This window comes from Homo sapiens, chromosome 16 (genome assembly GCF_000001405.40).
Source record: "Homo sapiens chromosome 16, GRCh38.p14 Primary Assembly".
In the NCBI taxonomy this organism is placed as follows: Eukaryota; Metazoa; Chordata; class Mammalia; order Primates; family Hominidae; genus Homo; species Homo sapiens.
In genome coordinates, this window is record NC_000016.10 from 71066029 (window position 1) to 71081448 (window position 15420).

General features: G+C 39.5%; 1 protein-coding gene across 4 annotated transcripts in view, besides 1 other annotated feature; it reads right to left on the reverse strand.

The window, feature by feature from the left end:
- Nucleotides 1-15420, reverse strand: part of HYDIN (HYDIN axonemal central pair apparatus protein) — a 428639-nt gene that overhangs the window by 263945 nt on the left and 149274 nt on the right. For all 4 annotated transcript variants that reach the window (NM_001270974.2, NM_017558.5, NM_001198543.1 and 1 more), the window contains exons 13-15: nt 13857-13924; nt 3239-3474; nt 1262-1362 (exon numbers count right to left, since the gene is read on the reverse strand). In NM_001270974.2, the coding sequence (NP_001257903.1) occupies nt 1262-1362; nt 3239-3474; nt 13857-13924 (405 nt within the window). The remainder of the gene's footprint in view (nt 1-1261; nt 1363-3238; nt 3475-13856; nt 13925-15420) is intronic.
- Nucleotides 13248-14447: an enhancer, noted in NCBI's record as "BRD4-independent group 4 enhancer chr16:71113179-71114378 (GRCh37/hg19 assembly coordinates)". NCBI's record gives its function as "activates an origin of replication core promoter dependent on BRD2, P300/CBP, MED14 and CDK7 cofactors, and independent of BRD4, by STARR-seq in HCT116 cells {active_cell/tissue: HCT116}" and the evidence as "EXISTENCE:reporter gene assay evidence [ECO:0000049][PMID:35650434]".

The following is a 15420-nucleotide window of genomic DNA, read 5'->3' on the forward strand; positions in this document are numbered from 1 at the left end:
ACCTGAAATACTGTGACTGAGAGGGCTTATACTACTTGACTTGGGTCACAGAATATAAGTAGAAAACTCATAGCCTCTTTAGACCTTTTTTTTTTTTAATTTAGAATTTCCTATCGATAGCTGTAGGGAAAGGGGCTAGAAAGTATCTGAATAAGCCTGCATAGACAAGAAATGCAGGACTAGACTGAAAGGCAAATCTGGGCATAGAAAGGACCACATTAGGGTTTTTACTGTTTGTAAACAAAGGAAAAAATAGGTCTTGAAGGAATACTAAGTAGGTCACAGTGGGAACCCTAATTTAAGTTGTTTCTGCACTGCTATTTATCTTCATCCAAGCCCAAGACACGTGAAATAGTGTCAGTTACTAACTCCCCACCAACCAGCACATCTGCCCCATCTTTAAAGTGTATGTCTTCCTAAGATTCACAAGAGATCAGAATTCCAGAGATTGACATATTAGCATGATTATCAGTTTTCCTAAGTCATTTTCTCTATTTCCTATACATAGCATTTGCATACATACAACTTAAAGTCCCAGATCTGGACACTGATTGCTTTGGGAAGAGTGTGGCCCCAGGATTTTATTTGGGATCACATCATCATTAGTCGATGACACCACCACCCTCATCAGCAGTACTGCAATGACTGTAGCTTGGTCAAAAGGACACAGTCAACAAATGGCTGAGCCAGGATTTTAACCCAGCTGCCTCTCTCAAAAAGAGAGAGGAGTTGGAGATGGTTCTGAGGAGTATACCTTGTTAAAGATGAGCCTCATCTTGGGGGCCCACTCCTAGCCTGAAATTCAAGTCACAGCAACAGTGTCCCGGGGCAGGGACCTCTTGGCTCTATGGATCTTCCACTGCAGGACTGACAGCATCACCTTCCTATTGCATAACTCTGGAGCACTATGTTGAAAGATGAAAATAAAAATGAGCAGCTCTTCACCTCTTCCTGCTAAAACCTTTCTGGTTACATACTTTGAAAGTCAAACCCGTTAGAGAGGGTCTGACCCGTTTTTTCACTATTCTTAGGATTCTCTGCCTAAACTCTACAAAACACACACACTTCTTCTTATCTCCACCAAAGGTGCTTTAGAAACATTTGCTGCTTTGTCATTTGAATGTCAGATTCAACTTCCCTTCCCAGGAAGGCAGGACAAACTCAGTGTGCTTGGGTTGGCAGGCCAGCTGCCTTCTGGGAGGCAGCCCATTACTGGAGGCTCGGGGGCGACTCAGGAGAAGAGCAAGCTGGGGAGCAATACCTTGCTGTAATTAAGAGCGCCAGCACCTCTTCTCCGATGCCCTCCACGTCCACCACGAGTGCCAGCTCGTATTTCTGCACAGTGTTGGAGCATAATGTCACCTGGAAAGAAAAAGGTGACAAGTTGGTCTTCGAAAAAGCACGTTCTCTCTACACGGGGGAGGGGAGCCTCCGGAGGACTACGCTGATCAGAGTGGTTTCTAAGTGCTTTATGGATATATAGCATTTTACATTTTTAGTTGACAAGTTACATTGTGGGGTCAGGGCATGCTGAGTGTTTTCAAAGGCCAGGGTAGAAACCAAATGGCTGTTAGTACAATGGCTTTGCTCATTTCTGAGGAGGTTTTGTCAAAGAAGCCACATACCTGCATAAGGGGAAAAATGAGCATGAACGATGAGCAACATCGAACCAACTTTAATTACTGCAATTTAAATTGTTCCCTACCTCTGGGCTATATGAATTATGAAAATGTAATATACTAGTAAAACACTATAGCACAAGTTCTCTTACAGTAAAATAAATGGAAATAACCATGTCAGTTCCAGAAAATGGTGTAAGAAATCAGTCTGCTTTACCAAAATCTTGCCCCCACCATCCCACATTCTTTATTACAGCAGAAAATAGAAAGTTCCAAAGAAAGGTCTATTTGAGGATAATAGAACATGGTCAAACCATAAACAGATTTCAGAACTCATTGGTACTTAGATTCCAATTCCAGCAAGTTGGAGTTAAGCAGTAATGAATTGCACAGACAATTCATTTAAGAAGTTTAGCAGTTGCTAGGAGAGATTGAGGGTCAAGGGAGGCTCTTGGGGGGCTCAGAACATTTTACCCTGTGTTTTTATTTCCTGCTGTGAAGCTGTACATTTAGGCTTTCAGAAGACTTGTTATGATTTTTAATTGCTTCAAAATTGTATGTACTGGAAGAGATAGTTTCAAGTCTAGAAAACAGCTTCTGGCATGAGTTAAGGCTTTTCTATCTATAAATTATGCATCTGGTACTAATTAAAATGTTTTCAGTTGCAGAGGGAATCACTGGATGCAAATTTGAGTCCACACAGACCTGGCTGAAGTGCAGATCAGGAGGGAAAACTGGAGCTTGGAGAAAGCTTTTCTAAATATAAAGGAAAAATAAAGTGAAGATGAAGTCATTGATTTGGAAAGAAACAGAGAATCCTAGTGTGACTGTAACCCCTTGTTTATGTATCTGGGCTGTGGCTAGAAGGAAGAACAAGTGGTTTTGGCAGAAGGCTGCTAGCAAGACGCTGTGTCTTTTAAAATCTTCCTGAGATATCTGGGAAGCAACAACAACAACAAACAACAACAGCAAAAGAAAAGAGGGAAGACAGTTAAGGGTGAAATAATTCCACTGGTGGCACTGTGAGGCGATAACCAAGGCAAAGCACTATCCTGATTGCAGACAAAACATGGAAGGATGAGTATTCCTCAGGATGAGGAAGCTGAATTCTCATGGCTTTTCCTGCAGAACTCAAGATAAGGCGCTGTTAGTGATACCACATCCACATCCACCATGAATGAAGCCTGGATTCGGATTACAAAGCTGAATAAACCAGATATCATCTTTGGCATAAGTGTGGCTATTTATTGCTATCTAAAGGATCTGAGTCTGAAGGAAAGATAAACCTAAGTATCAATAAGTTGTGAAATCTGTTTATATTAGTACCGCTGGGAGTACTGTCTGGATAGCAGTGGCTTCACTAGAAATGCCTAGAACCCACTCTTCTGGTGAAGGCAATGCATCTAGATTAAGGTAAAGCCACTGGCACAGTGCCCATTGCTTTGCCCAATGTATTTGTGTCTGATTTATTTCCTTATAGGCCCACGTTTCCCTGTAAATTGACAGGCACCCCCTCCTGCTGACACTGGACATGCTAGAGCAAACCCTAGATGAGGGCCCATGACTATTTTGAAGGCTCAGCTGCTTAGCTGTGTGTGCAGGAAGGCCATGCACTTTACCCTGATAGCAGCAAATCCCTGGGGGCGAATGGTGCCACAGTCAGGAGAGATGGTGAATTCTTTTGGTTTCATTGAGGATATTTCTTCCTTGGTCCAAGATGGTCTTTTGTAGTCCACATGCTGCTCACAATATGAAATGCTTTTATGGCCAAGGCCATCCCCAGGGATACGCAGTTTGTAAGTCATGGGGATCAAAGAGGTATTATTGAGGGAACATATCAAGGTATGAGGAAACCCTGGAAAACAAAATATGATGTGAGAAATAAAAGCCCCCCCAACACCTCCCTTGACCCTCAATCTCCCCTAGAAACTGCTAAGCTTCTTGAATGAACTGTCTGTGCTATTCATTACTACTTAACTCCAACTTGCCCTAAATATTATTTTTATTGTTTCATTCCATCAATAAATACATTTTCATTCATTAATGTATCTACTTTTTCATTTATGCATTCACTCAATGAATATTTACTATGCATTTACTATGTGGGAGATTAAACACCACATATAAAACAAGCCCCTTGATTGCCACTCAGGCCCTTCCGGGGAGGCAGCCTCTGTTAGTAGTTGGCTGAGTAGTCTTGCGGAAGTATATTTTGCATTTATTTCTTACACAAAAATATACATTTTTACATTGAATCATGCTTGCTGTTTTTATTTGCCAGTGTGTGAAAGAAAAAGCCTGCATGGTTTTGCCCCCTGGGTGACCCAGAGCTTGCCAAGACATGATAGAGTGTGTCCTAGACCTGTCTGGGTATCACGCTCTTAGGGCTGATGACACAGTATCAAAAAATAGCCTTTCCCAAGAGAGACTTTACAAACTGCTTTAGAGCCAGCCAGAGACTAACACCTGGCTTTTACCTCTCTTAGACAAAGCTGCTTTGTCATCGTATCCAGCTTTGTTCCGTGAGACTCCTCTCTTAAGAGATGTGGACCTTTCTTGCTTGGCAAGCAATACACTAAGCTCTGATTTTCTTTCTTTTCTTTCTTTCTTTCTTTCTTTCTCTCTCCTTCCTTCCTTCCTTCCTTCCTTCCTCCTTCCTTCCTTCCTTTCTTTCTTTTTTTTTTTTTTTGAGACAGAGTCTTGCTCTGTAACCCAGGCTGGAGTGCAGTGGTACAATCTTAACTCACCTCAACCTCCACCTCCCAGGTTCAAGTGATTCTCCTGCCTCAGCCTCCTGAGTAGCTGGGATTACAGGTGTGCGCCACCATGCACCACCACGCCCATCCAATTTTTGTATTTTTAGTAGAGATGGGGTTTCACCATGTTGGCCAGGCTGCTCTTGAACTCTTGACCTCAGGTGATCCACCTGCCTTGGCCTCCCAAAGTGCTGGGATTACAGGCGTGAGCAACAGTGCCCGGCCACTAAACTCTGATTTTCGATTCCCTAGGCAGCTATTGTATCTGATACCACTTTCAGAACAAGAAGAATAATCTATAGACACAGGAGAACAAAAATGCATATTTCTACTGGATGGAAATGCTACTCTTCTACCTTGAACTCTGCTGTAATAAAATGTACTTGGTCTCTTGGAGTAATGACTGTTGCTGTCGGGGCTATTTTGAGTTGATCTACTTCTGCCTCATGTCTCAGCTTTTGTCTACACATTAGGCCATTGGAGGAAACACATTCATGTATCCTTTGTGATAACACACCTGCCAACCTACTTGGAAGATATCTTTCATGGAAAAAGAACTGTGAGATTGAGTGCACTTGAAGGGTTATTCTTGGAAATTCCAGAGGAACTGCTTGGAAGGCAGCTTCACAATCATGCTACATGTGACTTTCCTGGACTTACCAAATAATGACTCTGGAAACTGTAGATGGCTTAGCCTTATTTGATCTGACCATTTATGAGTTAGACGATCTGTGAATGTGGAGCGTATTATGGAAAGTGGGTATTATAAAGAGTCACGTGGTCTTCCAAACCATTGCCCAGACTGCTTCCTTAAAGCCAGAACTTTTTCACAGAATAAAGCCAATTATGACCTCCTAGTTACAACAATTTCTTGTACTAGTACCTGTAATATCCCATATTGCTTGTCAAGAAGCCTAAAGGAAGGGGATGCTGATTTGTTAAAGACTGAAGGTCATTAATAAGAATGTTACTCCTAGGTTTCTAGTTGCAACCAATCCTAATACTATTCTATCTACAGTTCCACCTGAATGCAAGTACTTTACAGTTGTAGACCTCTATGCTCCCTTTTATAGGGTCTAGTAGATAAAAAGTCAATATTTATTTGCCTTCTCTTCAAATAATTAACAACATAATTGCACAGAATGTCTCAAGGATTCACAGAGGCACCTGATCTTTCTCCCAATACTTGTATAATGTTTTAAAACACAACATTCTCAAGAGATTCAATTCTCCTTCAAGATGCTTATTTTCACCTGACCTAAAAAGCTCCTAAGAAGACTAGCAGAAACTAGCAGCGGAAGATCACAAGGCTGTAAAGGAAAAATTACATTTCTTTAAAAATATGGTATATTATTTGGAACATGACGTCTCTACTAGAGAAAGGACCCTATCTAATGAGAGTATTAAATTGATTCATCAACATGCAGGACAAAATGCTAAATTATAATTGAGAGACTGGGGGATTCATGGAATATTTTAGACAATGGATTCTTTATTTTTCTAGTAAAGTAAAAATCTCCACAAAGCAAAGGGAACCGTGTTGGCAGATCATTATGCAAATCAGGTGGCATTTTTGTCATTGTCCATAGAAATAATTCAGAATATGGGAATCAATAAGCACATATATCCAACTCATTTTGGACATAGAAAATTTAGCCTCAGATTCAGAAAACAAACGTTGCCTAAAATTGGGAACCTCTGTTCATTCCAATGGTCTCTGGAATACCAACTATGCCCCCAAATCTAAGTGGTCTTTGACAAAAATGTTTTATCATACGTAAAACATCACCACCATAGAAGAGAGGAAATAATCTCTGAATAAGAATCAATGGGAAAATCTCTCCTCTGTAGCTGGGGATGTGGCTGGCTCCTGCCTCCCATCCTGATACCATATCCAGAAACATTGTACAAGTGGGATGTGAGTCTCTGGAATATATGTGGATTAGGCCCAGCTCACAAAGTTCAGAATATGTGCTTGTAACTGTAAATTCTTTGGATGGGTTTGAGCCCTTCTGTACAGAAAGACCACTGCTGTGACTGTGACTAAGAAACTGTAGACTATAAGTTTCCCACCTGGGGAATGTTACCTTACACTACAAGAGTTAAAAAGAATTTTATAGTGCGTTAGCCCTTTGATAAAAAATTTCACAATCTTTGGGAAATGTAGAGCATAAAAATAGTATTACTGATCTTAAGTTGGCCCAGTTCTCCGAGGTTCTGAGTTCCTTGATGAAGAGTTTTACCTTTAGCTCTGATGGCCATCAGATATGATTAGCTCCCTCTGTAACTCATAGACTATTCACTTTATGAAATAATAACTAGAAGATCCATGTGATTACAAGTATTTCATCAATTTGGGTCAACCTTGCTTCATGCAGACATAACAAAATATTGTGAGAACCAGCTCATCTATAAGTTTAAAAAGTCTTCCCTAAAATACCACCCTCAGAAGCCCTCCCCTCTTTCTAACTGAAGAATGAGTACCCTGAAAAATACACCAATGAAGGTCTTCTTCAGAGCCTTCTAACAACTGACCTTGCAGTTAAATTATGAGGTGGACCTCTGAGGAAAAAGATGCCCATAGAAGCTAAATTATTGGCTGAAGACGTGTTGAAAAATACTCTCACTGGGGATCTTAAGTAGAGGTTTTCTAAAAAAACAGAAAAAACCTTCAGAAGCAGATGACCTTCAGAAATAGACTGCTATTTCAAGTCCCTCAGAACAAGCAGACTTTACCCACAGTAGATAGCTTCTGCTCAAGACTGATGGGATGAGATTTTGTTAGATGCCTGACGTTACTGATTCTCACACTCTCCCTTGCGTACTTTTGTTTTTCATCATTTTGCCATATTACTCCTTGTTTCTTATCTTAAGGTTATACAATTTTGATACACCCTGTGATGTCTCCCTTACTGTTATTGACAAGTTGTTTTGGGCATGCTTTGCTCACACCTACTATGATCTCTTCTGCCAACCCTTCTAAGATCATTCTGTGATCATTACAATCCGGTTTTGCTCCCGACTCCCTACTTTACACCCTCCGAAGGTCAACTTAGATATTTCTCCTTCAGCTACATACTGCCAATTTATATCAGTGCCATAGAAGAGACACCGGTAATGCATCTTTTGATGCTTTATTTGAACAACTCTGTCCCCAAATCCCAGACAGGTTATCATATTTTGCAATAACTTCTCTGTCCACATTATTCAATGGCCGAGTTCAATAAATGCTTGGAGGTTTTCAAACTCCTTATTCTCATTCAACACATCCTTGTATCTCCTGAAAAATAGTGGGTTTGCAGATATTTACCTGGGCCTTTAGTGTATCAGCTAGCATGCCAGTTGTTACTTGGTCCATTTATTCTTTAACCCATCCAAGGATTCATCTATGCCTCAATGTTCCTTCAAGGACAATCACCACCCAATTCTATTATCTGACTCTCTCATGCTACTGCAGCTGTAGTCAACAGAACTAATTATTTCTGGGTAGGTCATCCAACATCCAATCCTACCATCAAAAATCTTTATAGCCATAGAAATTTTAGAAACCAACATATAGTACTATTACCCACCACCCATCTATCTCAACATCATCAATTCCAACAGTCCCTGATGCAAAATCCATATCTTCACCACCAAGCAAATAAATGCCACATCTCCAACACTAATCTATAACAGACTCCTTTTTAGGAATGGAACTTAGTGTCAATACAGGGATAATACTGTCAACTTTAGTTAGCTTAATGTATTCCCCACTATATTAGCCTCTGCAAACCTTTTTAAACCCCACATAATATGTCCATCATTCTGAAATAACTAAAATATTCCTCCAATTCTTGGCTTATTCCTGGAATGATCAGTTTCACTTTTGCATCAGGAACTATACGCATCCCTATTAGTCTTTCATTCCTGAGCTAATAACAAGCTTATGCTCATCTGTCTCATTAACGCCTCCCTACTTGCATATGTGGGGTAATAATTAGAAAGTTTCAAATGTGGCCAGGCACGGTGGCTCACACCTGTAATCCCAGCACATGGGAGGCAGAGGCAGGTGGATCACCTGAGGTCAGGAGTTCCAGACCAGCCTGGCCAACATGGTGAAACCCCGTCTCTACAAAGAATATTAAAAAATTAGCCAGGTGTGGTGGTATGCACCTGTAATCCCAGCTACTCGGGAGGCTGAGGCAGGAGAATTGCTTGCTCCGGAGGCGGAGATTGCAGTGAGCCAACATGGTGCCACTGCACTCCAGCCTGGGCAACAGAGACTCTGTCTCAAAACAAAACAAAACAAAACAAAAAACACCAAAAAAAAAAAAAAAAAAAAAGAAAAGAAAGTTTCAAATGCCTCTCCACATCCTCCAGTGCCACCATGCTTCTTTGTGAAAAGTCTATTTGATGAGAGACCAATCCACCTGGGGAAATAATGGTACTTTGTTGGAGTCATGAGGCTTAAATTGTGGGGGTCATATAATTGGAAATTAACACAAAATTGCCCCTCGCTTTGGCTGATGCAGTACAGACTCCAGAAGCAAAGCAAAGTAGCCTAAACCCACTGACCCATGTGGTTTTGAAAACCAGATCGCCTTAGATTTCCTGTTGGCAAGCCCAAAAGGGATGTTATTGCTGACATTTCCTGCCACAATACAGAGAAGATTAAAGAATTTATAGCATTCATAGCTAAACTAAAAGAAAAGATAACTTGGGTTTTGAAGGTGGATTAAGTTGGTTTTTGAGATAAGTTTCCATGTCTCAGGTTTGGGAAATCTTGGGGGTCATGGTTCTGCAGTGTCTTCTGGCCTCTTGCATAGCTGCTATATCATCAAATGGTTCAATAAGATATTACAAAACAAAAGAAAAGTAAATTGTTTCTAATTTTCAGCTAAGCTAATTACCAAAACTTTCAGCTGAACCAACTATGAGGAACAGCTGTTGATTTTTATTTCTATAGCTCAAGGAAACTATGGATAAATTACCCAATGATAATCTTTCCTGCGTCCTAATAAAGGAGGCCCAAATGGAAGATGGTTAAGGGAAAAACCTATCTAACCTTGGAGCATGCGTACCTGGTTTCGTGTGAGCCAGAGCTCCCTAACATCAAAAATCCCATTCTAGATCTGATGGAGAATAATGTTATCAATGTCATTGTTTTGAGGATGAATAAGAGCCTTTAAATTGACACACAGGTTATTCTTTAAATGGACACACAGGTTATTTTCTTATTTGGCATACAGCATATAGGAAAAGGAGGCGATGATATGAGAGTTCTGGCAAACAGGAAGAGGAAGTGGAAAGGCTACTCCTTTTGTCTCAGTTGAGTATGGGAAGGGGAAGAATAACAGAGTGGCCACATGTGTACATCATGGCATCTGCCTTACAGGCCAGAATCTCAGGGATAGGGTGGCTAAATAGGTTGAGGGGATGTTGGAAGCAAAGGGACTTCTGCCTGGCTTTCTTGTTGGGAGTCTCAGAGCAGACCACTTCACAGAATATTCTCATACCTGCCTGGGGCAGCTAACTCAGGATAAAAATGGTATGCTTACGCTGAAAGGGAATCAGTACTTGAGGATCTCTCAGTTCCTGTGTGGCTGGAGAAGGACCCAGGCATTACACATGGATACATGGCACCCTTCCTCCCACTCATGGTTCTGGAAGGTAGTTGGGTTGAGAACAGTGAACTTGCCATGGGTCTGCAACAGGGCTGCCATAGCAAAAGGCCAGGCAACCATACCTCAATGGCTATGAAGGGAGAAGAGAGATTAACTTCACACTGTCCAACGGAAATACAATGCAAAACACAAATAGGTGACATTAATTTTAACAACATAGTGCATTTAACCCAACATGTCAGAAATATTATTTCAACATGTAATCAATAGTATTTTACACTTACAGCACATCTCAGTGTGCTCAGTAGCTTCATGGGGGAAGCACAGGTCTAGCTCTAGGGAGAATGGAGTCAGTGGAAGCCAAGTCAGTGTTGGCTCTGCTGGAGCTGAAAGGACAAGCCATCAGTGTTCCCACAATACCTCAGTGGAAATGGGCGCCACAGGTAAGTGGATAGCTAGATGAGGCACCCCCAGGCCAGTGCCTCAGTGCCCCCCAACTCCTGCCATGCTTGCTTGGTAGTGTGGGAACACATGAGAAATACTAGTTGGGTTATAAAAAAATACTTAAATTTTCTTCACAAAAAATATCTAAGATGATTGAGATTAAGCATCTTTTAATATGTCTTTCATAGACCTTCTATTCTGTTTAAACACTTACCAATTCATACATGTCTATTCATCTATTTGCCAATTTTTCTATTGGATAATTTCACTTTTCCTCATGAATTAGCAGGAGTTAGTTTCATGTATTCTGAAGGTTCATGTATTCTGATTTTAATACTTTGCCTATTATTTATGTTGCAAGCATTGTCTTTTTACTGTGTTCATGAAATCTTTTTGTTTGGAAATTTGCTTAATGTTAGGGAGCCACACTTACTAACCTTTTTCTTTATGGCTTTTGCATTGGGCATCTTGTTTAAGACCTTCACACTTGCTAGCATATAAACATAACCACCTATATTTTCTCCTGATATTTTAAAAAGTTTGTTTTTCATTGTTAGCTGTTTAATAGATCTGAGATTTTTTTCTGTGAAAGATGTGAGGTAAAAGTCTAACTTTTCTATTATTTCCAATGGATAACAAATTGTTTCTTTGCCTTTTATGAAGCAGCCCATGCCTCCACTGATCTGAAATTTCACATTGAGCATGTGTAAATTCCCCTGTAGTCATGGCTTTGTTTCTATTAGTCTATTTGCCTATGCTTTAAAGTACATTATAATATCTGATAAAGTCCACAGTCACTGGTCTTTGTTTCAAAAATTTATTGGCTCTTTCTGTGAATTTTTCCCCAGGGAATTAACCAATTATCTTCTTCCTGTAGTGTCTGCACATTTATTGTTAGGTTATTTTATAGTTTTATATTCTTAAATGATATTTTTCAATTATATTTTCTAGTTAATCATTGCTGATATATTTAAAAATCTACTTTTTAATAATATTTTGCTTGAATATCTTGCTAAACTCTTATTAGTTCTAATGCCTTGTCAGTTAATTACCACAGTTTTTCTAGGTAGAGAATAATACATTCTATAAACCATGATAGTTTTGTTTTTTTCTTTTCAACTACTTATCTTTTATTTCCTTTTATTTTCTTATCACAATGGCTTGGACCTCCAGGACAATGTTATATGATAGCTTGAGAATAGTTTTTTGTTTTTTGTTTTTTTTGTCTCTGAAAATGAATCAGAATGCTTTCAACATTAAATTGTAATATCCCAGTCCCCAGAATAGTGTCTAGAACATAGCTAAACTAATATTACTAAATATACATTACTAAATGAATAAAGGTCCCCATTAAATACATTTTCCTACTGTAGGTTTTTTCTATTTTTCATTCATCATATTAAGGAATTTCCCTCCTACTCCTAGTTTTCTAAGAATTTTTATTTCTCATTATGAATGAGTGTTGGATTCTGTGGAATATTTTTCTCAGCATGAACTGAGATGATATAAATTGTGGTAAATTACATGAATGGATTTCCTGTTACTAAACCATTTTTGGATTTCTGGGATAAATTCTACTTGGTCATGATGTAATTTTAAAAATGCATCTCTATGCATGTGATTTGCTAATGCTTTAAAATCAATGTTCATAAGAGAGATGGGTCTATATTTTTCTTTTCTTGTGTTGTTTTACTGTGAATATATTTGTCTCCTAAAACGAGTTAATAGCTTTCTACATTTTTCTGTGATGTGAGATACATCCATTTCTTCACCATTTGGTAGAACTCACTTGTAAAGCTGTTTGACCTAGTGTCTTTTCTTCAGGGGTAGATATTTGACTTCTTTTTCAGTATATTCTATGATTATTTTTCTATTCAGGTTTTCTACTCCTTGCGGTAATTTTAATAACGTATGTTTTCCCCCAACTCATCCATTTCTCCTATTTTTTAAAGAAGTTGTATATAGCATTCTCTTATCTGTTTTTACTGCCTTAAATATCTGCAATTGTATTTCTTTCCTGGTTCCTAATAAGAGTTATGAGGGTTTTTTTGTTGTTTATTTGTTTTTTAGAGACAGGGTCTTGCTCTTTTGCCTAGGCTAGATTGCAGTGGTGCAATCACAGCTCACTGCAGCCTCCAACTCCTGGGCTCAAGAGATCCTCCTGCTTCAGCCTCTTAGGTAGCTGGGGCGACAGGTACGTACCACTACACTCAGCTGATTGTTTTAGTTTTTTGTAGAGATGGGGTCTTGCTATGTTGCCTGGGCTGGTCTTGAACTCCTGGGCTCAAGCAATCCTCCCGCCTCGCCCTCCCAAAGTGGCGGGATTATAGATGTGAGCCACTATGCCTGGCTGATTCTTAATTGATGTTGCCCAGATTTGCTAAGTTACGGCAAAATTGCTGGTTATCTCCCACTATCCTTTTCCTTCTTCAGGAAGTAACGAAATCCCTAAGTTTTGGTTGTGAATGTGGCCAACAAGAATGAGGCTGTATTTCCTAGCCTTATGTGCAGCTTGGTTGTGGCCACACCACTAAGTACTCACCAATGGGATATAACCATATGTGGCGTGTACAACTTCTAGGAAGTGTCCTTAAAAGGAAGGGGTGTACTCTTTTCCTGTCTCTTCCTCCTTTCTGCTGGCTGGAATGTGAGTATGACGGCTAAGGTTAGGGCAGAAAACTTGACCAAGACATAGAAGCTACATGCTACCTATGATGGAGTTACAGAATTGAAAGAGCATCCAGTTGCACACTATAAGGACAGATGTTTTTCTTCAGTTTAGAAATTCTCAGCCGCCATCTCTTCAAATATTGCTCTTTGGCCATTTTCATTCTTTCTCCATCTAGCATTTCTGTTAGATACAAGTTAGAACTTTTAAACCTTTAAACTTAGAACTTGTATCTATTAGATACAAGTTAGTTAGTTAGTTAGAACTTTTAAATCTTACTTTCCATGTCCCTTTATTTCGCTTTCATGTAGTCTAACTCTTTTGCTTTCAGTGCTACATTCTGGATGAATTTCTCAACATTAGTTACTTGTCAATATATAAGTTTTATGCCTGACTGTCAGTGTTTGGGGTGCTCAAGTGGAGAAGACTTCTAGATGAAAGAGTTTTAGATATTCTTGGAGCTCAATAATGGGCTTACCACTGGTATATAGCATTTACATTAACATTTCAGAGCTGAACTATAGAGTAGATTCCAAACAATGAATCAGTATAAGATTTCTTGGCAGTAACTGACTTGGGATGGTTATGTGGACTCTGTTTTCTTATGCAGGGCAATCAGATATAGGGCACATGTTCTGAATGTCCTTGTGCTGGACTTCCTATTCCAGTGCTGTGGAACGGGGGTTCTTTGTAAACCTTCCTCCTTCCACGTAGAGAAAAGGAATCCTATTCAATTTCTAATTTAAAATGGAAAACTACTCACCAAAGGAAACATCACCAAAGTGCAGAGCTGGAACATTAAAATGGAAGGTAGGTCCAATGACACAGCCTCTGGAAGGAGGAATACAAGGTGGGGGAGAGGGAGAGAATCCAGTGAATCAGAGTCACAATCAGGAAGTAGGGCAAGGATAAGTACAAAAACCATACCTTGACTTTATGTCAATTATAGTATCCAGGATTTAGAGAAATGATGACATGATGGTCTATCACAGTGGTTCTTAAAATTCTTTTTCATGATTCAAACCATGGGTTTTGACAAACAATGCTGTGGTTAACTTATTATCTTATTTCTACCAATGAATAGGTGAGAGGCAGAGCAGATGGATCACCAAACAAGGGCACAAAATGTTGTTATTTTGAATGAGACACATATCATGTAAAGTTATTAATGTGTCAAGAAATAAAAATTATAGGTCTAATCATGTAATACACATCAAAGACTATCATTGATACTAGTAATCCCTGTCCATGCTTTCATATAAACTGTTCCAATTCCACTCTTACCACTGTGACATTCCTACCACTATGACATTCACTCACTGTGATGTTGGCCAGCCACTTTATCTCTATCAGCTTCTGTTTCTCTTCCTCGTGTATAAAAGAGAGGACTGGACTAGGTGACACTGAATGACTCTTTACTCTAAATGTTGGTCTATTTCTCTCTCAGTGTAAGGCTTTATGATCTTGGAGAGATGCTGTAGCTTAAAATAAATAATAGAGAGATTCTATGACTTCTAGCTTAGAAGGTAATGTAGGTAGAATAATGGCTCCCAGAGATATCTATGTCCTAATTCCCAGAACCTATGAATATATTAGGTTACATGGCAAAGAGGAATTAAGGTAGCAGATGGAATTAGGGTTGCTAATTAACTGAATTTAAGATGAGGAGATTATCCTGTCTTATCCTAGTAGGCCCACTGTAATCACAAGGGTGATTTTAAAAATAGAGGAAAGAGACAGAAGAGGAGGTCAGAGTGCTGCAATCTGAGAACTCAACCTGGCTTTGAACACAGAAGAAGGAAACTTTGAACAAAGAAGAAGGAATCCAGGAATGTGAGCCGCCTCAGAAAGCCAAAAAAGGTTAGGAAATGGGTTCCCCTCTAGAGCCTTCAGAAGGAAACACAGCCCTGCCAACACTGATTTTAGCCTAGCTAGACCTGCATTAAGTCTATAAAACTGTAAAATATTAAGTATGTGTTGTTTGAAGCTACTAAATTTGTGATAATTTGTTACAACAGCAAAAGAAAACTATTCAGTTATCTTGTTTACCTTCAGAGCAATAATATTTTTCTCCATGATCCATGTAAAGACATGGATTGGTGCCTTAGTGATACTTCCGGTTGCTTCAGCTCTGACTATAATGTGATGAGAGGTTGTTGTAAGCCTGGGAGGAATGGCCACAGCAAAGACTCACTGCAACAAGTTTCAGGTCTAACTTTCTCATGAGCATTTATTATATCTCATGCTAACGATCTGAAGTGATTTTAAAGGGAGTGGTTGGGACTCAGCCAGGAATTGGGATCCAGTTGAGAACGACGTCAACAAAC